The sequence below is a fragment of the Homo sapiens genome, chromosome 2 (assembly GCF_000001405.40).
Source record: "Homo sapiens chromosome 2, GRCh38.p14 Primary Assembly".
NCBI classification, from domain to species: Eukaryota; Metazoa; Chordata; class Mammalia; order Primates; family Hominidae; genus Homo; species Homo sapiens.
Window position 1 is genome coordinate 190765561 of NC_000002.12, and position 27996 is coordinate 190793556.

At 41.0% G+C, this 27996-nt stretch overlaps 2 annotated features.

The window, feature by feature from the left end:
* Positions 16104–16467: a transcriptional cis regulatory region, noted in NCBI's record as "candidate enhancer chr2.5899 targeted for multiplex CRISPR interference". NCBI's record gives its function as "positively regulates HIBCH gene expression with high confidence in K562 cells {active_cell/tissue: K562}" and the evidence as "EXISTENCE:mutant phenotype evidence [ECO:0000015][PMID:30612741]".
* Positions 25607–26806: an enhancer, noted in NCBI's record as "P300/CBP strongly-dependent group 1 enhancer chr2:191655893-191657092 (GRCh37/hg19 assembly coordinates)". NCBI's record gives its function as "activates an origin of replication core promoter dependent on BRD2, BRD4, P300/CBP, MED14 and CDK7 cofactors, with strong dependence on P300/CBP, by STARR-seq in HCT116 cells {active_cell/tissue: HCT116}" and the evidence as "EXISTENCE:reporter gene assay evidence [ECO:0000049][PMID:35650434]".

Below are 27996 nucleotides of genomic sequence, written 5' to 3' on the forward strand. Positions count from 1 at the left end.
GAGGAGAAAAGGTCACGCAGTGTACTTGCCTAGTGGGCCAGAGACCTGGCTCACTCTTTGTTGCTACTACCCTTTATGGCCATGCACTATTATTAGTTTTCACATAATGTAAGCGCAATATAAATTTATTTCACAAGCTACTTTAGACTTGGAAAAATCCAAAACAATTGCATCTGCTTCTTGTGCATTAGTAAGATCACTCCTGCACTCATAAGAAGGAAGTTCTCGCCTCTATTCTAAAGTCCTGATTCTTTATCTCTCCTTCCCTGTCACAGTTAGGAAGTCAAATCCCACTTAACCAGTGTGTGGATGAGTAATGGTAGCCGTGAACCTTCACTAGGTTTGGGGCTCTTAATGTGGAGGATGAATAAGATACAGAGAATGTGAGAGCCTTGTGCTAGTCAGAGCAGGATAGACTTATGTTGCAGTTACCCAATTAATCTGAATCCACAGTGGCTTAACACAAGAAAGGTTTGTTTCTTGCTCATGCTACATATTCATCATGGATGGGAGGGGCCCCACTCTAGGACTCAGGATGATGGAAGTTCTGCCATCGTGCAGCTGCATCTGCTCCCTATTACCATGCCCTCCTTTTTTTTTTTAACCATTAATTCCAATTTGAGTTGGCTGAAAATAGCAACATGCCTGGATTTGTCAGGCCAATTTCTGTAACAATTAGTTGTCTCTGGTTTTTAGAATTCTGGGTACTTTTTATTTTGTTTATCTGCATGTTATAGTTTGTCTATAATCTCAGGGGTTTAAGACAATAGAATTTAAGTCAGGTGTGGTGACTCATGCCTGTAATACCAGCTCTTTGGGAGAGCTCAGGAATTTGAGACCAGCCTGGGCAACATAGTGAAACCCCGTCCCTACAAAAAATACAAAAATTAGCTGGGCGCTGTGGCCTGCAGTCCCAGCTACTCGGGAGGCTGAGGTGAGAGGATCCCTTGAGCCTGGGAGACAGAGGTTGCAGTAAACTGTGTTCATGCCCCTGCACTCCAGCCTGGGTAACAGAGTGAGACACTGCATCAAAAACCAAAAAAAGACAGTAGAACTTATTAATTGCACGTGTAATAGTTCAGTGTGGCTATTCAATGAGCTGCCTTGCATGAGGTGATTCAGGGACATGGGCTCCTCCTTCCTCTGCCATCCCCCAGGCCTTCAGAGTCCTCTGCTGGTTCCTCTATATCAGGCAGAGAGACCCAAGAAGAAAAGGATCAGGGGCCAGGTTTGGAAGCAGCATATATCATTTCCACCCACAATTCTGTTGGCCAGAATTCATGATCACACTTAACCTCAAGGGAGCCTGGGAGCTGTAGTCGTCTGTGTGCACAGGAGGAAAAAGAAGAGGTTTGGTGACAGTCTCAGAAGAGGAACTAAGGAATCTGACTGCAGTTAGATATGTCTGAGGAAAAGAACATTATTTCTATTGCATTGTTCTTATTTCCTTCATTTATACTTAGATATTGTCTCTCACTTGTTTATTTCATTTTCTTTTAAAACCAGCTTTTAAAAATGTTAATATCCAGCTTTGTTGAGAGTATACAAAGGTGAACATAATAACACTTAGCTGGTTGGCATATAAACTGACATAATCTTACTGAAGGGAAATTTGTGTATATGAATCAAAAACCTTTAAAGGACTATAGTCACCAGTTCTACTTCCAGAATTTTATCCTGGGGAAATAAGCAGGTAATAGAAACAGATGTATGGATTTATCATAGCATTGCTTATAGTGGTGAAACACTTCCATGACATAAATGTCCAACAATTGGAAGTAAAATAATAATGCTACTTTTAATAAAGATCATGTGGCCGTGAATGATTCCATAGGTGTCTATTTAGTGAAATTGAATGATATTCCTTATACATTAAGAGAAAATACAAGTTCACAATCTCTATGTCTGGAATATTCCCATTCTGGTTTTTCAAAGGATGATTTTACACACACACACACACACACACACACACACATATCAGGAATATATATGTGTGTGTGTGTGTGTGTGTGTGTGTGTGTGTGTGTGGGGTTTGTGTGTGTGTGTGCATGATTTTTTACCTAATTATTTTTCTCTGGGCATTCTGAATCTGGGTGAGTTTCTTTTTTTTCCTTTTTTGCTCACTTGTGTTTTCCATATAAACAGGTGATGTTGTCTAAAAAAGAAATCTTTCATATTTTAAAGCAAAAAACCCAAACCCTTAATATTTAAAACAAAAACACAGTTTTAACTCATAGACATCTCAAAGGAAAAACAAAACAAAATACCACCTGCTTACCCACACTGGCTTGGATAAAGGGTAACAAACATCTCTTCCAGATGGACCTTGCCTGAACACCTGGAGGAATCTAGATTGGGGTGTGGGGTGTGTGGGGGTGGGTTACATGCCATATTCTTGACTGGGCCCTTGTCTCTGCACCGGGCTTAAGCAGATTGTCGGGTCCATGCATAGTTGCTGTTCATTCCTCACCTCCCTCACTCTGACAATGGTCTGCTTTCTTTTCCCTGAGTAGGAAACCTGCAGAGGCAGCTGGCTTGTGATACTTTGTGTAGGCATGTGAGTTACATGCAAATCACATGCAGAGTCACTCAGAATCCTTTCTCAGATGGTCCAAGTCAAGAATATTTGTCTTAAGTCTGTAGTATGATACCTAAAAACGGGCATGTACTTATGATATTTCTCTTAATTTCTCCCAGAATAAGTCAAATTACTGTAAGAAGAGGTTTCAGCTTTTAAGTTCACTATTCTTTTTGGAGTTATCCATGCATGCATGCTTACAAAAATTAAATTATTTTCAAAGACAGAATAATTTTTCCACCACAGTTAAACTCAAAGTAAATGAAGAGCTAGAACATGATACTTTCCTCTAAGAATAGACATTCTTTATAGTTCAAATTACTTGCAATATGGATTTATAATAGCAGAAAGATGGGACAAAATTTTAATCACTTTCAGTGTTAAGAATAGTGATTTTATGAACTGTAGACTTAACTCAGCAAAATCACACATCTCTGTCACCTACACACACTTTCTTTCTTTCTTTTTTTTTTTTGAGACAGAGTGTCACTGTCACCCAGGCTGGAGTGCAATGGCGCGATCTTGGCTCACTGCAAGCTCTGCCTCCTGGGTTCATGCTATTCTCCTGCCTCAGCCTCCCAAGTAGCTGAGACTACAGGCGCCTGCTACCACGCCCGGCTAATTTTTTGTATTTTTAGTAGAGATGGGTTTCACTGTGTTAGCCAGGATGGTCTCGATCTCCTGACCTCGTGATCCGCCCACCTCAGCCTCCCAAAGTGCTGGGAATACAGGCGTGTGCCACCACGCCCGGCTACAAAGTTCACATCTGCTAAAATTATATTCATTCACAAATTAATTCAAAGAAGTGTACTATTTATTTAGAGACAAGATCTTGCTCTGCCACCCAGGCTGGAGGGCAACAGGGCGATCATGGCTCACTGCAGCCTCAACCTCTTGGGTTCAAGTGATCCTCCTACCTCAGCCTCCTGAGTAGCTGGGACTAAAGTGTGCATGCCATCATGCCTGGCAAAAGATGTGTACTTTTTGAAAGACATTATCTACAATAAAAAATCAAAGCCAATCTTGGTTCTCTATTAAAAAATCAACTTGTGTAAAATCAGTATACTCGTCAGAAAATTATTATAAAACTAAGACAAAACACAACATACCAAAATGTCACTTTGTTTGCTACATTTCAACACCCTATACTTGCCTAGGTTGCCTTTTGGTTTTTCAAACAGGATGAAAAAGAGGAAATGCTGATAATTATATGCAACTCTTGTTGATTTTATTGATTAGCAGTAAGTTGAGAATTTTCTCTTCCAACAGAGGAAGATAAGATGTTAACTCTCATAATCACTTAGGATTTATTTATTTATTTATTTATTTATTTATTTATTTATTTATTTTAGAGATGAGCCCTCTATGTTATTCAGGATGGCCTCAAACCCCTGGGCTCAAGGAATCCTCCCAACTCAGTCTCCCAAGTGGCTGGGACTATAGGTGCTGGTGACTATAGTGTCACCTCTGCTGTGCACCTCTACTGTGCACAGGTGACTGTGTGCACCTCTACTGTGTGGACAGTTGAATCCTGACGGTGCTTCAACTCAGTCACTGTATATACACACTGCAGATTGCATGTATGTAGGCATGAACATGCCAAGAGGTGTGTTGATCTGGGTATCTCTGCTTTAGGGACCTGGGTGGTGTTTGTGTATGAGTCTGCATATAGTCACCTGACTCGCTCAGAATTTTAACAGGGGGTAAGAGAGAATTAGTCCCTGAGGGGAGGCGAAATAAAGTGCTAGTGTTGGGGTGAAAGGTCTAGGAAAGAGACTAGTGGTGGACCCGTTGCCTCCTTCATTTCCCTGGTTAGGCTCAGGCTGTATGTTTCCATAAGCTACTGTCTTGCTAAGATACCTTTGCCACCATGAAGGATGCCGGGATCAACTAAAGGTGTCTTCTGGGGATAGCCTTGAGCTCAGTCCTCAATGTTACTTCTCCTCTCTGAGACTTTATGTCTCCTCATCCTTGGCTACTACCCTTGAGTGCCAGCTCTAAATGCTCATCCTCTGCTCCCGACACACCATTTCCAGCATCTCACTTCCTCAGTTCCATCATCAAACCACTGGTAAAAGACCTTGGTTATTCTGGGACTTTCATCCTCAACCACTGCCTGGGGCTGGCTGCCCAGAGGACATGGTGCTTTTCCATGGCTGAAAATAGATGTGTGGGGCAGGTTTGCTGCAACCAGCAGAAAGCAGAGAGAGAAAGCAGCTTGCTGATCTCACCTGAAAACGACCCTACAACCGTGTAGGGACCAGTGGGAGGGGCTAACACAAGTGTAGAGGTACCTGAGTGTACAATTTGCTCTCTGATAACCAGAGATCAAACAGTAATGGGCAAGAGAAAAGAGTAAGACTTAGCGACTCAAACTTATTTTGTTTTGAATCTATTTGACAAAGAAGCTGTCTGATGTTTTCTTATACACCCACTCATGTTCTCACTAGCCCTCAGCCATCTTCCAATCCCTCCCTTTCATACAATTCTGCCTCCAGCACATATCTTTTGGCTCACTACCCTGATTCTCCCACCTGCCAATCAGTGACCCCATTTCCATGCTTTTGAACTCTTCACTGTTACCCCACAGATAAGCATGATGCATGATGTGCATGATGCTTATCTATGGGATGTCCCTCGAGCATGCAGGCACTGCTGCATCTGGAACAGGCTTTTCTATAGGTGAGCAGGCTCTTCAGTTAACCTGTGTGGCTATACTATTACATTATGGAACATGTAGGTGTGTGTACCTCTACTGTGTGGACAGTTGAATCCTGACGGTGCTTTAACTCAATCACTGTATATACACACTGCAGATTGCATGTATGTAGGCATGAACATGCCAAGAGGTGTGTTGATCTGGGTATCTCTGCTTTAGGGACCTGGGTGGTGTTTGTGTGTGAGTCTGCATATGAGTACACCTGGATGTGTGTCTGAAGGCCCTGCTGATCACTTCCTACAAAGTTTGACTGTATGCTTCCAAATCGCTCCACTTATTAATATTACTCTTTTTTTCTTTCTGAATAATTTTATTGTGGCAAAATATGTATAACATGAAGTTTGTTCTTTTAACAAATTTTTTCTTTTCTTTAATTTTTTTTTTTTTAGAGACAAGGTATTACTATGTTGCCCAGGCTGGTCTTGAACTCCTGGGCTAAAATGATCCTCCTGCCTCAGCTTCCCAAGTGCTGGGAGTACAGGCATGAACCACCATGCATGGCTATTTTCACAGATTTTAAGTGTACAACTTAGTAGCATTAATTACATTCACAGTGTTGGGCAAACAATCACCGTTCCCCGCATTTTTCAACATCCAAACAGAAATTCTGAAACCATTAAGCAATAACTCCCTCTCCTTCTCTCCCCCAAGTCCCTGATAACCTCTAATCTACTCTGTCTCTATGAATTCACCCATTCTAGATATATCATGTAAGTGGAATCATACAATATTTATCCTTTTGTTTCTGGTTTATTTCATTTAGCATAATATTTTCAAGGTTCATTCACGTTGTAACATGTACATAACTTCATTTCTTTGGCTGAATAACATTCCACTGTGTATATATATCACATTCAATTTTTTCATTCATCTGGTCACAGACAGTTGGGTTGTTTTCATCTTTTGGATGTTGTAAATAAAGCTGCTATGAACATTGGCATTCAAGTATCTGTTCAATCCCTGTTTTTAATTCTTTTGGGTATATACCTAAGAACAGAATTGCTGGGAAAGGGAGTAATTCTAGGCTTAGCTTTTTAAGGAACCAAAACACTGTTTCAACAGTGGTTGCACCATTTTACATTGCCATTAGTAATGTATGAGGGTTCCAATTTCACCACATTCTCACAATACTTCTTTTATTTTCTTTTTATTTTATTATAGCCACTCTAGTAAGTGCAAATAGGTATCTCATTGTGATTTGGATTCACATTTCCCTGAGGATTATTGTTGTAGAACATTTTTATGTGCTTATTGGCTATTTTTATATTTTATTTGGAGAAATATCTATTCAAATCCTTTGCCCATTTTAAAATTGGGTGGCTTATCTTTTTTTTATTAAGTTCTTTATATATGCTGGATATTTACCCATTGTCAGATATTTTTTGTTTGTTTGTTTGTTTTTTATGATTATACTTTAAGTTCTACGGTACATGTGCACAACGTGCAGGTTTGTTACATATGTATACATGTGCCATGTTGGTGTGCTGCACCCATTAACTCGTCATTTACATTAGGTATATCTCCTAATGCTTTCCCTCCCCCCTCCCCCCACCCCACAACAGGCCCCGGTGTGTGATGTTCCCCTTTCTGTGTCTATGTGTTCTCATTGTACAATTCCCACCTATGAGTGAGAACGTGCAGTGTTTGGTTTTTTGTCCTTGCGATAGTTTGCTGAGAATGATGGTTTCCAGCTTCATCCATGTCCCTACAAAAGACATGAACTCATCATTTTTTATGGCTGCATAGTATTCAGTGGTGTATATGTGCCACATTTTCTTAATCCAGTCTATCATTGTTGGACATTTGGGTTGGTTCCAAGTCTTTGCTATTGTGAATAGTGCTGCAATAAACATACGTGTGCATGTGTCTTTATAGCAGCATGATTTATAATACTTCGGGTATATACCCAGTAATGGGATTGCTGGGTCAAATGGTATTTCTAGTTCTAGATCCTTGAGGAATCACCACACTGACTTCCACAATGGTTGAACTGGTTTACAGTCCCACCAACAGTGTAAAAGTGTTCCTGTTTCTCCACATCCTCTCCAGCACCTGTTGTTCCCTGACTTTTTAATGATTGCCATTCTAAATGGTGTGAGATGGTATCTCATTGTGGTTTTGATTTGCATTTCTCTGATGGCCAGTGATGATGAGCATTTTTTCATATGTCTTTTGGCTGCATAAATGTCTTCTTTTGAGAAATGTCTGTTCATATCCTTCACCCACTTGTTGATGGGGTTGTTTGTTTTTTTCTTGTAAATTTGTTTGAGTTCTTGGTAGATTCTGGATATTAGCCCCTTGTCAGATGAGTAGATTGCAAAAATTTTCTCCCATTCTGTAGGTTTCCTGTTCACTCTGATGGCAGTTTCTTTTGCTGTGCAGAAGCTCTTTAGTTTAATTAGATCCCATTTGTCAATTTTGGCTTTTGATGCCATTGCTTTTGGTGTCTTAGACATGCAGTCCTTGCCCATGCCTATGTCCTGAATGGTATTGCCTAGGTTTTCTTCTAGGGTTTTTATGGTTTTAGGTCTAACATTTAAGTCTTTAATCCATCTTGAATTAATTTTTGTATAAGGTGTAAGGAAGGGATCCAGTTTCAGCTTTCTATATATGGCTAGCCAGTTTTCTCAGCACCATTTATTAAATAGGGAATCCTTTCCCCATTTCTTGTTTTTGTCAGGTTTGCCAAAGATCAGATAGTTGTAGATATGTAGCATTATTTCTGAGGGCTCTGTTCTGTTCCATTGGTCTATATCTCTGTTTTGGTACCAGTACCGTGCTGTTTTGGTTACTGTAGCCTTGTCGTATAGTTTGAAGTCAGGTAGCATGATGCCTCTAGCTTTGTTCTTTTGTCTTAGGATTGACTTGGCAATGCGGGCTCTTTTTTCCTTCCATATGAACTTTAAAGTAGTTTTTTCCAATTCTGTGAAGAAAGTCATTGGTAGCTTGATGGGGATGGCATTGAATCTATAAATTACCTTAGGCAGTATGGCCATTTTCATGATATTGATTCTTCCTATCTGTGAGCATGGAATGTTCTTCCATTTGTTTGTATCCTCTTTTATTTCATTGAGCAGTGGTTTGTAGTTCTCCTTGAAGAGGTTCTTCACATCCCTTGTAAGTTGGATTCCTAGGTATTTTATTCTCTTTATAGCAATTGTGAATGGGAGTTCACTCATGATTTGGCTCTCTGTCTGTTATTGGTGTATAAGAATGCTTGTGAGTTTTGCACATTGATTTTGTATGCTGAGACTTTGCTGAAGGTGCTTATCAGCTTAAGGAGATTTTGGGCTAAGACGATGGGGTTTTCTAGATATACAATCATGTCATCTGCAAACAGGGACAATTTGACTTCCTCTTTTCCTAATTGAATACCCTTTATTTCCTTCTCCTACCTGATTGCCCTGGCCAGAACTTCCAATACTATGTTGAATAGGAGTGGTGAGAGAGGGCATCCCTGTCTTGTGCCAGTTTTCAAAGGGAATGCTTCCAGTTTTTGCCATTCAGTATGATATTGGCTGTGGGTTTGTCATAGATAGCTCTTATTATTTTGAGATACGCCTCATCAATACCTAATTTATTGAGAGTTTTTAGCGTGAAGGGCTGTTGAATTTTGTCAAAGGCCTTTTCTGCATCTATTGAGATAATCATGTGGTTTTTGTCTTTGGTTCTGTTTATATGCTGGATTACGTTTATTGATTTGCATATGTTGAACCAGCCTTGCATGCCAGGGATGAAGCCCACTTGATCATGGTGGATAAGATTTTGATGTGCTGCTGGATTTGGTTTGCCAGTATTTTACTGAGGATTTTTGCATCGCTGTTCATCAGGGATATTGGTCTAAAATTCTCTTTTTTTGTTGTGTCTGTGCCAGGCTTTGATATCAGGATAATGCTGGCCTCATAAAATGAGTGAGGGAGGATTCCCTCTTTTCCTATTGATTGGAATAGTTTCAGAAGGAATGGTACCAGCTCCTCCTTGGACCTCTGGTGGAATTCGGCTGTGAATCCTTCTGGTCCTGGACTTTTTTTGGTTGGTAAGCTATTAATTATTGCCTCAATTTCAGAGCCTGTTATTGGTCTAGTAAAAGATTCAACTTCTTCCTGGTTTAGTCTTGGGAGTGTGTATGTGTCGAGGAATTTATCCATTTCTTCTAGATTTTCAAGTTTATTTGCATAGAGGTGTTTATAGTATTCTCTGATGGTAGTTTGTGTTTCTGTGGGATCAGTGGTGATATGCCCTTTACCATTTTTTATTGTGTCTATTTGATTCTTCTCTCTTTTCTTCTTTATTAGTCCTGCTAGTGGTCTATCAATTTTGTTGATCTTTTCAAAAAACCAGCTCCTGGATTCATTGACTTTTTGAAGGGTTTTTTGTGTCTCTATCTCCTTCAGTTCTGCTCTGATCTTAGTTATTTCTTGCCTTCTGCTAGCTTTTTGAAGGTGACAGCTCTTCCTTCTCTAGTTCTTTTAATTGTGATGTTAGGTTGTCAATTTTAGATCTTTCCTGCTTTCTCTTGAGGGCATTTAGTGCTATAAATTTCCCTCTACACACTGCTTTGAATGTGTCCCAGAAATTCTGGTATGTTGTGTCTTTGTTCTCATTGGTTTCAAAGAACATCTTTATTTCTGCCTTCATTTCGTTATGTACCTAGTAGTCATTCAGGAGCAGGTTGTTCAGTTTCCATGTACTTGAGTGGTTTTGAGTGAGTTTCTTAATCCTGAGTTCCAGTTTGATTGCACTGTGGTCTGAGAGACAGTTTGTTATAATTTCTGTTCTTTTACATTTGCTGAGGAGTGCTTTACTTCCAACTATGTGGTCAATTTTAGAATAAGTGCGGTGTGGTGCTGAGAAGAATGTATATTCTGTTGATTTGGGGTGGAGAGTTCTGTAGATGTCTATTAGGTCCGCTTGGTGCAGAGCTGAATTCAGTTCCTGGATATCCTTGTTAACTTTCTGTCTCGTTGATCTGTCTAATGTTGACAGTGGGGTGTTAAAGTCTCCCATTATTATTGTGTGGGAGTCTAAGTCTCTTTGTAGGTCTCTAAGGACTTGCTTTATGAATCTGGTTGCTCCTGTATTGGGTGCATATATATTTAGGATAGTTAGCTCTTCTTGATGAATTAATCCCTTTACCATTAGTAATGGCCTTCTTTGTCTCTTTTGATCTTTGTTGGTTTAAAGTCTGTTTTACCAGAGACTAGGATTGCAACCCCTGCTTTTTTTTGTTTTCCATTTGCTTGGTAGATCTTCCTCCATCCCTTTATTTTGAGCCTATGTGTGTCTCTGCACATGAGATGAGTTTCCTGAATACAGCACACAGATGGTTCTTGACTCTTTATCCAATTTGCCAGTCTGTGTCTTTTAATTGGAGCATTTAGCCCATTTGCATTTAAAGTTAATATTGTTATGTGTGAATTAGATCCTGTCATTATGATGTTAGCTGGTTATTTTGCTCGTTAGTTGATGCAGTTTTTTCCTAGCCTCAATGGTCTTTACAATTTGGCATGTTTTTGCAATGGCTGGTAGCGGTTGTTCCTTTCCATGTTTAGTGCTTCCTTCAGGAGCTCTTGTAGGGCAGGTCTGGTGGTGACAAATCTCTCAGCATTTGCTTGTCTGTAAAGTATTTTATATCTCCTTCACTTATGAAGCTTAGTTTGGCTGGATACGAAATTCTGGGTTGAAAATTCCTTTCTTTAAGAATGTTGAATATTGGCCCCCACTCTCTTCTGGCTTGTAGAGTTTCTGCCAAGAGATCAGCTGTTAGTCTGATGGGCTTCCCTTTGTGGGTAACCCAACCTTTCTCTCTGGCTGCCCTTAACATTTTTTCCTTCATTTCAACTTTGGTGAATCTGACAATTATGTGTCTTGGTTTTGGTCTTCTCAAAGAGTATCTTTGTGGCGTTCTCTGTATTTCCTGAATTTGAATGTTAGCCTGCCTTGGTAGATTGGGGAAGTTCTCCTGGATAATATCCTGCAGAGTGTTTTCCAACTTGGTTCCATTCTCCCCATCACTTTCAGGTACACCAATCAGACGGAGATTTGGTCTTTTCACATAGTCCCATATTTCTTGGAGGCTTTGTTCGTTTCTTTTTATTCTTTTTTCTCTAAACTTCTCTTCTCACTTCATTTCATTCATTTGATCTTCCATCACTGATAACCTTTCTTCCAGTTGATTGAATCGGCTACTGAAGCTTCTGCATTTGTCACATAGTTCTCGTGCCATGGTTTTCAGCTCTGTCAGGTCCTTTAAGGACTTCTCTGCATTGGTTATTCTAGTTAGCCATTCGTCTAATATTTTTTCAAGGTTTTTAACTTCTTTGCCATGGGTTTGAACTTCCTTCTTTAGCTCAGAGAAGTTTGATCATCTGAAGCCTTCTTCTCTCAACTCGTCAAAGTCATTCTCTGTCCAGCTTTGGTCTGTTGCTGGTGAGGAGCTGCGTTCCTTCAGAGGAGGAGAGGCGCTCTGATTTTTAGAATTTTCAGTTTTTCTGCTCTGTTTTTTCGCCATCTTTGTGGTTTTATCTACCTTTGGTCTTTGATGGTGGTAATGGACAGATGGGGTTTTGGTGTGGATGTCCTTTCCTTCTAACAGTTGTTAGTTTTCCTTTTAACAGTCAGGACCCTCAGCTGCAGGTCTGTTGGAGTTTGCCAGAGTTCCACTCCAGACCCTGTTTGCCTGGGTATCAGCAGCGGATGCTGCAGAACAGCGAATATTGGTGAACAGCAAATGTTGCTGCCTGATCGTTCCTCTGGAAGTTTTGTCTCAGAGGGTACCCGGCTGTGTGAGGTGTCAGTCTGCCCCTACTGGGGGGTGCCTCCCAGTTAGGCTACTCAGGGGTCAGGGACCCACTTGAGGAGGCAGTCTGTCCGTTCTCAGATCTCAAGCTGGGTGCTGGGAGAACCACTACTGTCTTCAAAGCTGTCAGACAGGGACATTTAAGTCTGCAGAGGTTTCTACTGCCTTTTGTTTGCCTATGCCTTGCCCCCAGAGGTAGAGTCTACAAAGGCAGGCAGGCCTCCTTGAGCTGTGGTGGGTTCCACCCAGTTCGAGCTTCCCAGCTGCTTTGTTTACCTACTCAAGCCTCAGCAATGGTGGGCGCCCCTCCCCCAGCCTCGCTGCCACCTTGCAGTTTGATCTCAGACTGCTGTGCTAGCAATCAGCAAGGCTCTGTGGGTGTAGGATCCTCCGAGCCAGGCGCAGGATATAATCTCCTGGTGTGACGTTTGCTAAGACTGTCAGAAAAGCGCAGTATTAGGGTGGGAGTGACCCGATTTTCCAGGTGCCGTCTCTCACCCCTTTCCTTGGCTAGGAAAGGGAATTCCCTGACCCCTTGCACTTCCTGGGTGAGGTGATGCCTCGCCCTGCTTCAGCTCACACTCGGTGTGCTGCACCCACTGTCCTGCACCCACTGTCCAACAGTCCCCAGTGAGATGAACCCGGTACCTCAGTTGGAAATGCAGAAATCATTCGTCTTCTGCGTCGCTCACACTGGGAGCGGTAGACTGGAGCTGTTCCTATTTGGCCATCTTGGAACCGCCCCACTCAGATATTTTTATTTATAAATATTTTCTCTAATTCTATAAGTTGTCTTTTTAATTTCTTGATATCATCCTTTAATGCAAGAAGCATTTTAGTTTTGAGAATGTCCAACTTATCTATTTTTTCTTTTGTTGCTCATACTTTCAGGGTTATATCCAAATCCAGAGTAATGAAGATTTACCCCTATGTTGTCTTCTAAGACTTTCGTGGTTTCAGCTCTTATATTTAGATTGTTGATCCATTTTGAGTTAATGTTTTTATACGATGTGGGGTTGGGGTCACACTTCATTCTTTTGCATGTGAAAATCCAGCTGTCCCAACACCATTTGCTGAAAAGACTGCTGTTTTTCCATTGACTGGACTTGGCACCCTAGTCAAAAATCATTTGGCCATAGAAATACAGGTTTCCACTTGGACCCTAAATTCTACTCCATTGGTCTATGTGTGTCTATCTTTATACCAGTACCACACTGTTTTGATTACTGTAGCTTTATAGTAACTTTTGAAATCAGGAAGTGTGAGCCTCTGACTTTGTTATTTATTTTCAAGATTGTTTTGCCTATCTAGGGTTCCTCATAATTCCATATGTATCAGCTTTTCCAGATTGCTTTGGTAGTATTGGCATCTTAACAGCGTTAAGTTGGCCTACCCAGGAACATGGGATGCCTTTCCATTCATTTAGGTCTTCTTTAATTTCTTTCAGCAATGTTTTGTAGTTTTCAGTGTACAAGTCTTTTACCTCCTTGATTAAATTTTTGTTTTGTTTTGCTTTATAGCACTTTTTTGTCTTGTTTTTAATTGACAAATAAAAATTGTATATATTTACAGTGTACAACATGATATTTTGAAATATGTGTGCCTTGTGGAATGACTAAACCTAGCTAATTAGCATATGTATTACCTCACCTATTTATAATTACTTTTGTAACGAGAAATCTTAAAATCTACTCTTTTGTGATTTTCAAGTAAACAATACATTGTTATTAACTATAGTTTTCATGTTGCACATCTCCTTGGTTAAATTTCTTCCTAGATATTTTATTCACCTTCTCCTTTGAGTTGGCTTGAAATCTTCCCCATTGTGCTTTACTACCCCATAAGACGTCCATAGTACATAGATTAGTGCCTAGCACATAGCAGACACTGAACAAAGGCTAATTGAACATAAGAATCTCCAAAATGATAGGATCTTATAACTTGACAAAAACAGTCATACAAATTCCATTCTTCTATAGACAAGGAAATGATGTTCAGAGAGATTAAGTTGCTTCCCCAAATAGCACTGCTAGCTAGGGGTAGAGCCAGACATTCACATCTCCCGAGAGTTTTCTGTGGATCAAAACGTAATCATTATATGCCACGATTCTGTCTGCTGGAGTAAATAAATTGGTGTGTTTATAAACTTGAGTGCTTGTCTTTGAGGATGGAGATTTTTAAGTGTCTGTTTCTCTATTTTCTGAAATGAATCTTAAAGGATTGGTGTACCTACAAAACTACAAAACTAGTTTCACATAGCTGAGTTAACAGTTATCAACAATTATAACAGATATATATCAATGAGGGTATCATATATAGAAGTCTCTATAGGTGTGTGTGTGTGTGTGTGTGTGTGTGTGTGTGTGTGTGTGTGTGTCTGTGTAGCAGGTAAGATGGCTGAGTGTTTTGGGAATGAATTAATCCACTAGAGTTTTCCATGGTGAGAACAGATGATCTTCCACTAGGCTTTAACTCCTAAATAATTTGTTTCATTATAGAATTATTTCCATTTAGAGAAAGAAGGGAAAAGAGAAGAACTGTGTCCCTGTTTACAAACTGGGGAATTCCTAATACGCTGCTTAAAAAAAAAAAACATATTTATTAGCTTTTAGGCTGACTCCCAAAGTAAGGGTAAATCAACCCGGGGCAGTGTTTAGCCTTGTTTTATTTCAGTCCTTTTCCATGCAGCTGGTCAGTCTCCAGTAATTCTCTTACCTGTCGTGACACAGCCTTCTCTCAGAACCTCCCAAAGGTGTTTGGTAATCATTGGTCTGGATATTGTCTCTGAGCCAATGATGTGAGACCAGAAACTCTCTGTTCCTGGACTTGGAGAGTTGCAGAGGGGAATTTTTAGTGCCTATCCAATATTCTTTTTTCTCCTATCCTTACTAACATCTCCCCCATTTTGTGTGTGTGTGTTTGAGGGGGAGCTATAATGTGCTCAGGAAAAACAAATCAACTACTACAAATCAAACAAACAAAAACTACATTTCTAATTCTCCTTTGCAGCTAGAGGTTGTCATTGAACCCAGGTATAAGCAAAAGTTTTTGGATGGGGCTTTCAGGAAAGACCTTTAAAATGGAGCTGACAGTTAACAAGTGCCTTTTACCCTTTGTACTCTGCCCTTCTTCTTGACTGGATTATAGCCATGACACACTGGAGGTAGAGCAACCCTCCTGTAATCACAGGCACCTGTGAGGGAGAGGTTAAGATGTCATGGAGATATCAACATGGTCTGTCTTCACTGCTGAGCCAATGCCCGCTACCACCTACCTCTGAAATTTTTGTTACACAAGAAAAGCCCCAAATTTGTTTAGGGGAATCTCCTTCACCAGTAGCTCAATTCAATTCTTAATTAATGTAAGAGCTTAAAGAGCTCCCTGAGATAATTTGAGTCAATGAACTCCTATATATCTTATTGGCAAATTAGACAAATTTAGAGTATATGTTATGGAAAAATTCTGAGAAGCCAAGAAAATGGTGGTGATATAAATCTGAGTTTGAACATACTCTCTCCCAAAACAATAAAGAAGATCAAATGAAACTACATAAAACCCATGTCTTCTACATAACTAGAAGACATGAAATGTCCAAATTTCAAATTAACTGTAAATAGAAAAATAAACACCAAACCCCAGCAAGTTGCCTCCTCCACTCCTAATACAAGCCCTTCAGGAACCAACAAAGTCAGCTGGAGAAAATCCGTGCAGAGTAGACAAGAGGGAAGCTAGTGGTGGACCTTAGATTGATCTGAAACAACCACCAGAGAGAGAACGTCGGCGCTAAGTTTGAAAATACTGAAAAGCACACTGGTAGATCAGGCTACTTACTACTGGGAAGGGACTTAACCATATGTGCTGCATGCGAGGAGATGGTCTTGTCCCACTTTTTGTGAGAGGAGATGGTCTTGGAAGGATAAGTAAGGCATCCTGGTAAAAAGGGTCAAAGGGACCCTCTTTTAGAGGCGAGCTCTGGAAATCTTGCAGTGAGAGGGAAATTGAAGAACCTGCAAGAATCTCTTCCCTTGCAAAACTGAAGGTAGCCCAGCCCCTTCTCCCATCATTCCCCTTCCAAATAATAATAATAAATAATAATAATAAGTTCAATTTTAAAAAAGAAAGAAAAAGAAGTTATACTTTGCCACACTGACAGAAGAGGGCGCTCTTGACCTAGGAATTTTGCAACCACCCCAACCCTTCCAGCCCTGTCCACAGAAAGGCGGATCAAAGTCTTCATCTAAGCAAAATCACCAGAATAAAAAGAACCCAAGCAATTCAACTGAGAAAAATTCCTCCCCCAAATAATGGCAAAGTGGAAGAAAACTAACACAACACTGAACTGAATTCAACGTCCTCAAGCACTTGGGAACATGGAAAAACACTTCAAATTACACATTCAGAAACTAGGTACAGAAACAGACATAAAAAAAGAAGAAATAAAATAAAAGTTGATTGAACTCAGGAAAGAAATAGAAGAAAGAATAGAAAAGCCATTATAAGCATTCCTATAAGATTTTAGATAAACTGAACTAAGACATTTTACACACGCGCACACACACACCACACATGCACACTATCCTTCAAGTTACATTTGAACAATTTCTTCACCATGTAGCTTTTGGGGGTTCATCCCAATTGGATATTTTGAGACATGCAATAAATGGTTCTGCTATTATTGCTATAATCACCATTACAGGTAACTGATTGGATGAGGACAGCAAGCGAGGGGAGGGAGTCTCGAGTAAAATGTCTGAGGCAAGATAATAGTTTGTCCAACTCCAGTGTTCACCTAGGCCAATGACTTTACAGATGAGATTCAGGGAGGTTACATAATGACCCAAGCTTCCCCAGAGCCAGTTAGTGACAGAAAGCACAAGGCAGAAAGCCTCCCTCTCCTTCTCTCTCCCCTTTTCCTCCTCTTACTTCAGAGGACAATGAGTGCCTCCTCCACCCTCCAGCAACCTCAGACCCTGTCACCTCACCCCTCAGCAGGATTCCCTCTTTTATATTCACTCTCCCCTTTTCTTCCGACCAATTCTTCCAGGCAGATACTCTCTGTCACCCTCATCCTGTAAAGCAAATACTCCAAACCACCTTCCCTTGATTCTGTCACTGCTGATTTTTCTCTTATCCTTAAACTTTTTTTTTCTTTTCTTTTTTTTTTCTTTTTTTTTTTTTTTTTTGAGATGGAGTCTCACTCTGTCGCCCAGCCTGGAGTGCAAAGGCGCAATCTCCGCTCACTGGAAGCTTCGCCTCCCAGGTTCACGCCATTCTCCTGCCTCAGCCTCCCAAGTAGCTGGGACTACAGGCACTCGCCACCACGCCCGGCTAATTTTTTGTATTTTTGCTAGAGACGGGGTTTCACCATGTTAGCCAGGATGGTCTTGATCTCCTGACCTTGTGATCCGCCCGCCTCAGCCTCCCAAAGTGCTGGGATTACAGGCCTGAGCCACCACACCCAGCCATCCTTAAACTTTTAAAAGAACTTGATACCAACCGTCGGCTCTCCCTCTCAACTCACTCCTGAAATTCTTGCAATCTGTTTTCCCCCATTCTCTCCTGAGCCCACGTGCTCGGAAACTGCTGGTCACTAGCTTCTAGACACTCCTATCCCTTGTTTTCTTGGACGCACAGCCCATTTTCTCTAGTCAATTCCCCATCTACTCATTTTCTTCCTCCCTCTTAAATGTATGCATTCCCTAAAGCTCTCCACTGCCTTTTCTTTTTGCCTGCACAGCTGCAGACTGCAAATATACATTTCCATACCTATCTGTTTCTCAGGTGTCTTTCCCTTATTGTCTTCTAGACATCATCCCTGGAATCCAGGAGGCTACCTGGAGCTCAACATGTCTAAAACTGAACTCCACACCCTCTATTCAGTTCTGTACTCACTCTTGAGCTCCAACTCAGAGTCCTTGATCTATTTTTTTGTGTTCTGTACCAAATCACCCATAAATTCTACTCAAAGCATTTATTGAGTATCTGATATGTGCAGGCACTGGATATGGGCCTGGGAGTATGAGATGAGTAAGACTTGTACTTACAGACTCAGTGGAAAGTCCTGTCCAATCAACACATACAACTTTCTTTCCACATTCACTGTCATCATTTTCATTTCCATGGTCACCCTCCTAGAGCAAGCCAGCTTTACCTCTGTTCTAGACTGGTAAAGCAGCCCCTTAAGAGATTTCTCTGGAACCAGCCTGGTTGAATGGAGTTGATCTCTGCTTTTATGCATTTTGTAGTTTAATACATCTACTTCTGTTTCCATTTTTCCATCTACTTGGAATATCCTCCACTGATCTTCCTATGTCACATCTGATCTGTCCTTTAATGCCTATCTCAAATTCTGGGCCTGCTTTGATATTTTGCCTGGTTTCCTGAGCTGGGAGTTGTGACTTCTTTCTCGGAACTCATGCAGACTTGTCTTCTGCACCTATGCTTTACCAGTTGTCCCTCTTGTTCAAGCTCATGGCACCATCAGTTAGGATTAGAATGTAAAAACCAGCTTTATATGATTAAAAAAAAACAGATCCATGATCAACTTCAAAAGAAATTATTTGTTCATTAGCTTACTATTTGTGTTACACCTTTTTATACCTTTTCTCTTGGAGGTTTGATAAACTAAACTACCAGAGAAGCTGAATATTCTAGTGTTACTAGATTTTGCTTAGCGCAAATAATGTGATTTCAAGAACTTCACATGAGGTCTTTTCAGCTTCATCATCTAGAAAATAGAAAAGTTATATTAAATGTACTTCACATCCTCTTTCAGATCTACCATTCTATAATTAAGGTGTCTCAAGGATTTGACTGTGTGGGAAACTCTGTTGATAGACTAATTTAACACCCATTCCCAGCTCCTCTCCTGTCCTCAGCTTCACTACAAAAGTTGGGAAAGCTGAATATTCACTTTACTATCCTTCTTTGCAGCTAGTGGCAGCCATGTAATCTCATGTATCTCATTCTGGCCAATGAGATATAAGCAGAACTCTATAAAGGAGAATTCTGGGAAGCTGTCATCACTCCTGTATTGGCAGAATTCTAAGATGGCCCCCGGGTATGTGTGTCCTATATAGTCCCCTTCCCTTGAGTATGGCAGAACCATGGGATATCACCCCCATCATTAGGTTACTAATCAGTTGACTTTGAGTCAATCAAAAGGGAAATTATCCTGGGTGGGCCTAACAGAATCTGGTGAGCCTTTGAAAAGAGAGATGATTTTCTATTGGCCTCCAGGAAGAAAGCAAGCAGCTATCTTTCCAATTGCCTTGAAGCAGCCTCTAGGAGCTCAGGGTCTTAGCCCTAGGAACTGAATTCTACCAACCACCAGTGAGCTTGAAAGAGTACCCTGAAGGCTGGGTGCGGTGGCTCAGGCCTGTAATCCCTGCACTTTGGGAGGCCGTGGTGGGCGGATCACGAGATCAGGAGATCAAGACCATCCTGGCTAACACGGTGAAACCCCGTCTCTACTAAAAATACAAAAAATTAGCCGGGCATGGTGGCGGGCGCCTGTAGTCCCTGCTACTTGGGAGGCTGAGGCAGGAGAATGGCGTGAACCCGGGAGGCGGAGCTTGCAGTGAGCCAAGATCGCACCACTGCACTCCAGCCTGGGCAACAGAGCAAGATTCCATCTCAAAAAAAAAAAAAGAAAAGAAAAGAAAAAGAAAGAGGACCCTGAGCTTCACATGACATTCGGCTTCTGCTGACACCATGATTGCAGCCTGGTGATTTCTTAAGCAGAGAACTCAGGCAAGCAGTGACCAGGCTCCCGACTTATAGAACTGTGAGATAGTAAATTCATGTTGTTTTACACTGCTATATTTTATGGCAGTCTGCTACACAGCAATAGAGAACCAATGCAACTAATACAACTCCTTTCCACCTAATCTCAAAAGTCAGGTGCTTAAAAAACTATCTTATAAAGTAAAGGCCAAGTGAATCATAAAGCCACTGCCCTGACCTCTTGCACCTTTAAAACTAAGGTGCAAGTCATCATGCAACCTCCCTGATTCTCATCTGTAAAGTCACTGGCCTAGGTGAACAGTAGAGTTTGACAAAACCTTTTTTATTTAGGCCAGAAAAAGAAATGTCTGCCTGTATGAGCCAATATGAAGTTAGCAAACGTTTCTTTTACTTGCAGTTAAAATAATTTCCAACTGATAAAGCAGACTTCCAAAAGCAGCATGAGCAAATTCTTATTTATTCATTGGCAAACATTTATAAAGCATACATAATGTTCCAGATAGGGGGAAAAATCTCCCAAAAATAAAAAAAAATTATTGCTTTCTATAGGCTCATAGCCTCCTGTAGCATGGAGCATGGGAGAGGGAAAAGGCAGACAAATCAAGATACAACTAAAATATAGAGTGGTTAGGCTATGACAGTTATAAACAGAAGGTCTTAGGGAAGCTCAAAGCAGGAATACCTAGCGCACACATTCAGGGTGGTAGGGAGGGAAGGGTTGAATTGGGAGGTTTAGGATATGGAGCAGAATTATGAGGGAGGCGTATGAGTTACTTGGAAGAAGCAGAGGAGGGAGTTTCTAGGCACAGAAGAGTAGAGGCCAATCAATAATCAACCAACAACCATCAAGCACCTGGTGTGAGGTAGGGGCACCTGCCAGATGCTACAGGGAGACGGAGATGTAAAGAACTTCGTCCCTGCCCCAGGTTTTTATAATCATGCTGCAGCGATGCTTCCCCTCCTCCACCCCAGCCCCCGCTCCCCCCCCCGCCCCTCCTCCCCACCCCCGGGGATGGAGCAGCCTGAGTGCTCTCTCTTGTCAACTAAGGACATTGCAAAAGGCACATGCCACCCTGTCGTGCTGCCTTGCTCCCCCAGATCATGCCCTTGGCAGCTGCCTCAGATATTACTGCTTCCAGAAAGTGGCTTACCAACTACGGTGGGAGAATCTAGGTCAAGGTCCTTCAGGAATGTGCTGTGCACAGGCAATTCAAGAAAAGAGAAATGAATTTGACAGGGAAGACAAGCCCTGCAGGTTTTGAAGTAGAATCTTGGAAGCCTGCAGGCTTGGTGAAACTATGCCATCTCTCTTATCAGATTATCGTTCTTAACAGCCTAGGAATTTGCTTGGAAATTATAGAAAGCCACTGTAAATCTTCTTTGAACAAGTAAAGGAACAAATATGTTGAAATAATAAAATGTGAATTCTGAAATAGGGCCTAGGGAAAAATACTGGAGGTAAAAAGACTAAGGCAGATACCATTGAAGGAAGGTGAGAGCAACAACAGAATGAATCATATTTCACCCAATTGACTTGTTTAATCATATTTGAGGAGCAGGGAGGGTTTATAATGGCTAAAAAGAAGGAACTGAGAGGCAGGAAGAACCAAATGTCATTCTTATCTCAGTGGGCATCTAAACCTCACCTGATTTTCCCAGGATGCTGGGGGAAACTTCCCTGTGGCAGCAGTTAAGAAGCTTGCCCAAGGGCTGAGCATTTTTATTTTGCTTTGTTTTGTTTTCATTTTTTTTTTTAATGTCATTGGCCAGGCACAGTGGCTCACACCTGTAATCCCAGCACTTTGGGAGGCCGAGGCAGGTGGATCACCTGAGGTCAGGAGTTCGAGGCCAGCCTGGCCACCATGGTGAAACCCAGTCTCTACTAAAAATACAAAAATTAGCTGGGCCTGGTGACGCATGCCGGTAATCTCAGCTACTTGGGAGGCTGAGGCAGGAGAATCGCTTGAACCTGGGAGGTGGAGTTTGCAGTGAGCTGAGATCACACCACTGCACTCCAGCCTGGGAGATGGAGAGAGACTTTGTCTTAAAAAAAACTTAAAAAAAAAAAGTCAGATTTACTGAGGTTTTATATATACATATATATATACACATATATATATACACACATATATATACACATATATATATACACACATATATATACACATATATATATACACACATATATATACACATATATATATACACACACACATACATACATACAGCAAATTTACCCCTTTTCAGTCTACAGTTTGATAAGATTTGACATATGCATACAGTCACATAACCACCACCACAAGGAAGGCATAGAATATTCCCACCACCCCAGAAAGCTGCCTTGTGCCTTTTTGTAGTCAACTCCTCTCCCCACCTTCTGCAAACCACTGACAGGATTTCTGTCTCTCTAGTTCCGCCTTTTCCAGAATGTCACATAAATGGAATCATATGGTAGATTGCCTTTTGTGTCTGGCTTCTTGCACTTCGCATAATGCAAGGCCAATTTTTAAAAGCTTCAGTATAAATGTTCTCTGCCAAGGTCATCTTTCCTTCAAATCTAAGGCAAAATGGATGAGCACCAATGTTCATGCTTGTCTTAACAAATTCACTGAAGTATGACTGTAGACCCTAAATCAAACCTGTGAAATGCGAAGCAGTTTCTCTCTGTAATCTATTCTGATGTGTTGGCTCAAGCTACACTTGTACAGTGCAAATGATAATAGAAGTCACAGTAAATGTGTAAATTAATATTGTTCTACTTATTAACATTTAGAAATACATAATTTCATTTTAATCAATCAAGACTATTTATAGGCCTATACTGTTGTCCTTAAGGAACTTGCAAACATATTACAAAGACAGTATACAATTAAATCATAGTATTTTATTGCTGAAAGAGGTTTTAGTGATGATTTAGTTATCACGCCATAGAATTTCACAGTTGACAATGGTCTTCAAGACTATCCAGACCTGCTCAACATCTTAGATTTGAATTTCCCTGCTGGTGGCAAACTCCAGAGCAGACATGCTAGATAAATGCGAAAAGCTGGCCAGTGGAAAGTGATGGGACCAGGGGCAAACTGGAGACAGTGTGACAGTGCCTATGGTCATTCAAACTCAATTTAAAGACAAATGCTGTGAAAAATCAATAAACACATATATTTGGGCTTGATTCAATCCTTGAGTCATCATACCAAAATCTCTTTCTATGTTAGTCCTCCCAGGTTTTGAGCTAGTGTTAGTGAAGCCTAGAATCTAGGTTTGTGTACCCGATGTACAGTAAGCCTAACATTGACACATCAGCATTTAGGAGCAGAGAGAAAGGTTTACTCGATTTAGCCAAAGTGAGAGGGCAGGAGAGGCAGTCTCTCAAATCTGACCTGCCTTGAACATAACTGAGGTATTTTATGAATAAGGTTGGTATGTGGGAGGTGGGATCTCTGATGCTCAAAGTTGTCTGCATTTGATCAGGCCAAGGACACCATCAAGGAGGTCTGCATAACCTAAGAATCATTTTTCTTTAAAAGAAAAACAGGCCGGGCACAGTGGCTCACACCTGTAATCCCAGCACTATAGGAGGCCAACGCAGGAGAATCACTTGAGTCCGGGAGTTTGAGACCAGCCTGGGCAACATGATGAGACCCCCCATCTCTACAAAAAATACAAAAATTAGCTAGGCATGGTGGTGCATGTCTGTGGTCCCAGCTACTCAGAAGGCTGAGGTTGGAGTATCACTTGGGCCTGGGAGGTTGAGTCTGCAGTGAGCTGTGATTGCTCCACTGCACTCCAGCCTGGGCAACAGAGAAAAGCCGTCTCAAAAAAAAACAAAGAAAAAAAGAAAAAGACAAAGAAAAACAAACTCATCAATCTCATGGGCAGCCCTGGGATTAGCATAGGAAGTTAATCAATTACTAGTGACTACCCTCTACCAAAGTGACTGTGTACAAGCAAGCATTCATGGAGGAAGAAAAGGAAAAGGGGGATAGGAAATAAGTAAAACAAACATCTTATGCTCTTTATAATAAAGGCTCAGCTACACTACTATAACAGGTGCTCCTGAGACCCTGGCCCATGTCTTTCCACTCTCACCAGTTTAATGGGTACCAGCCTGGCTTCTAACTGCCAGCAGCATAGCGTTTCTTTGCTATAGGATTTCTTGAACACTCAGCTCCTGCTTTAGTGCACTCTCACTGGGGAGGCAGGAAGTGTCAGGGGATTAAAATGGCCCTCCTAGAGCAGCTTTCCTCAACTGATGGAAATTTGTGTATAAATATTCCAGCTCCCTCCACCCACAGGGAGAAGACTGTACTTTACACCAGCCCCCAGAATTCTCAAGTGGGATTAGGGTTCCTGTTACCACAGTGGACTCTCTTTTGACCATATATCCTGTACTTCTGGGATCCTTTCCTTATCTCTCTTCCCCATTTCCTGCAGCCTTTCCTGAAATCAGCTGCCAGATAATCTACTTGTATGTGAATCTTCATCTCAGGGGCTGCCTCTGGGAGATCTCAAATTCATGTGGCTAAGAACACCCCCAGAAATGAGAGATTTATTGCATCCCAACACCCTTAGATATCTCTGACCCATAGAAATATCTTCCCCTTAACTGCGATGAAAAGTGTCTTTCTACAACTGGCATCTAGAGGTCCTCTTTATGGGATGATGTACTTTGTGTAAATTTGTCTAGAAATCTCCCACTTTAGAAAAGTCACTCAAACCCATTCTTAAACTACTTAAGTTTTCTGAAATATATTCTATATTTTACACACTGATCCATGGAAAAAAAAAAAAGGAAAGTTAACTGCTACACAAAGCCAGGAGTAAGCATCTAGAATGAAACATGCCCAAGGGAAGGAAAACCTCCAGAAATCTGGGGATTGGAGGAAAATTTCTCATTAAGCAAGATGTATTATTCTAAGTAAATCTATTAAGTAGATTTACTACTACTATTAGTTTTTAGTTAAATGCTAAGGGAAAGGTCAACCAAGAGGGCTGCAGAAGATGGGATCATTTTATTTACATAGATAATACACGTATCATTGTATATAATTTATGATCCTAGTATTCACAAGGGGAAGGATTGTAAAAAAATGTGCTGTCTTCATTTTCAACCTGACAGTTTTCAGGCTTGTGTGTTTCCTAGTCAAGTGTTTATGCTTGTTCTTGTATGTGCTATCTAAGAGGGTATCAAACGCTTTGTAGAGGTGCTGAAAAGGTATTACATTCTCAGCTTCTTTCCAAGAGGCATCCTCTGGGCCTCTTTAAGAGGCAAGAAAAGTTCTCAATTGTCTGAGCAGTATTCCGAGAGCATCTCCTACCTACTCCTTCTCATCTTGAGAGAAAGGGGAGTTTCAGGAGAGCCGAGACCTGGGTAAAATGAAGTGCAAAATACTGAAACAAGTAGATTTCAGAGCCCTTGTGAACATCGTTTCTGACATGATGTTTGAAGCAAAGTACTTGACAGACAGTTAAATGAACTAGTTTCTGCATTTTGAGGGTCTTTGTAGGATATCCATGGCCATTTTTTTTTTCACAACCTATTTCTGGGACATACACTGAAAGGACTGATTGCTTGCTAATATATCTTTTCTTATACAAAACCACTCTGTGAATATGCGTTCCTATAGTATTTATAAACAGTTTTTTTATTTGAAAGAGAGATAAACAAGTGATTATTAAATTCAAAGCTACACCTATTCCTCCCACTTCTTCTGCATCTGATATAATTACAACAAATCTGGGTTATGCATATGTGAACATCTTCTGGTTTTGATTGTCAAGCAATCAAATAACATTTCTTGCCCACACTCAGACCCATAATTTACATGCTTCTCTGCAGTGACACTTGATGCGGTTTAATTATAATGCTCTTCAATCCAGAAAGCTATTTAAAGGACGATGGAAGCTGTGCATTTTCAGTTCTTTCTCTCACAGACGATCCAGATATTTGTACCTGTAGCTGATCCCAAATTGAAACTTGATAAGTTGCGCATGACTTTTAACAGCAATAATTTTTCCTTTATAGAATAACTGATATTTTAAAATATGTATTTCTTTCTAAGAAAGCACGTCCTGCACAGTTTTCCATTTTGAATCTGTTTTTCCCCACACCATTAGAAGAAAGCATGGAAAATTTCACAATCATCTGCATTCTGTTTACAGCAAATATTTTTTCATTTCAGAGTGAAATTCTCAAGCCCCAAATGGGTAGGTGTTTTAATTCAGCATGGAAATAAAGAGTTGCTTTTTCTGGACATATTCCCTTCCTTTTCCTGGCAGTTACTGGTACCGACTTGCTCTTAATTATCTCCCATTCAATGCTAGTCATAACCACCCGCCCACTTCACACTTAGGCAGTCCTGCCCACAGCACTCACCCCAGCCCCCTCAGGCTGAATCATCAGCTCCCACCCCCGTCCTTCCTTTCCCACTGCCATTTCCTTTTTCGCTTCAATGCCCTTTATAGAGGGACATTCTTGCTTTTCCAAAGCTTTTTTCCTCATTCCTTATTACATCCCCTTTAAATTTTAGAAAAACCGTAATTCTTATGGAATTTAATTTTCTTCTCATCACTGAGGATGATTTGTGCTTGATGCACCATAGAATCTGTGTTCATTAGTTACCCATTAATTCTTGTGTACTTTAGGGGGACAGTAGAATTTGAGAAACTGGAAATCTATCACTTTCACTAAAACATACATAAGATGAAACTGAGTCACTTTGGAAGTTTCCACCATGGCAGAGACAAAGGAAGTCCCAGGCCTGGGCAATGTAAACAATCAACTTACAGTTTGACATTTCTGCTTTCAACATTCCACTCTCCCTGATTTTTTTTTTAATGCTATAATTAAGTCCTTTCAAATTGCTAACCCTAGAGCCTCTCTTTTTTCTTAGGCATACAAAGTATGGGAAGCTGAGGGCTCTAGAATTTGACACCTGCAGGTATCCTAGCTCTGATCAACCCACAGATATGTTGTACTGATACCAGCCCAGGCCATGAAGACACCATTAAACATTCCACCCCTATGTGGTTTTTACTTAAAGTACTCTAATATTGTCAGGAGGTATCCATGTATGAAGACATATTTCTCCGCATGTTCAGGACAAGTCATTCCTTATTATCTCATGAAGATTCTGCATACAGGTCTCACAGCTACCCCCAACATGCAAATAAAGAAAAGAAGACATCAAGTTCAAATGATCACTGATGGGGTTTCCTTTTGTTATGAAGCTTAGAGTTAAAAGAGATACACTTGGGCCAGGCGCGGTGGCTCAATGCCTGTAGTCCCAGCACTTTGGGAGGCCGAGACAGGTGGATCGTTTGAGGCCAGGAGTTTGAGACCAACCTGGCCAACATGGCGAAACCCCATCTCTACTAAAAATACACAGACTAGCTGGGCGTGGTGGTGCCCACCTGTAATCCCAGCTACTTGGGAGGCTGAGGCAGGAAAATAGCTTAAACCTGGGAGGCAGAGGATGCAGTGAGCAAGATTGCACCACTGCACTCCAGCCTGGGCAACAGAGTGAGACTCTGTCTCAAAAAAAACAAAAAAAAAAAAAAAAAAAAGAAAGAGAGATACACTAGGCCCAACGCCTCATTTTATGTGAGAAAGATGAGCTCCAAAGTCCTGATATGGACATACCAGCTCGGTGCTCTACTCAGCCATCCACCCGTCTCCAAACCTCAGATGCCCCACCCAGTGTCTGCGGCATGTTCCCCCTCTCAGTTCTATGAGCTCATGCCTTTTCAATTGTTCAATCATCCTCTAAAATTACTACCTTTCAACATGCCTTTTTGTTCTAACTGGGAGAGCGGTGGTGATTTCCTTTGGAATATCTGCCTGAAACAACCTTTTCAGGCTGCATTTTTTTCACTTGTAAAATGAAAGTCTGGATTAGATCATCATTAAGGTGGTTTCCAGGTCTTAAATTTTATGGGTTTCTAAGTGTAACGTATGAAATCTGCAAGCATGTATTGAGCACCTATTAAATGTGAGGTTCTGGCCAGAAACTGGGGGGACCAGGGTGCAGGCCTTCCCTCTACCACCTCATTCTATAAGTCTCAAAGAGGGCTAATTATCATTCAGTATGAAAAATGAAAAGATCAAGGTTTGTGTGCAGGGTTGGAGTGATTAATTCTGCCTGGGTGGTTGGT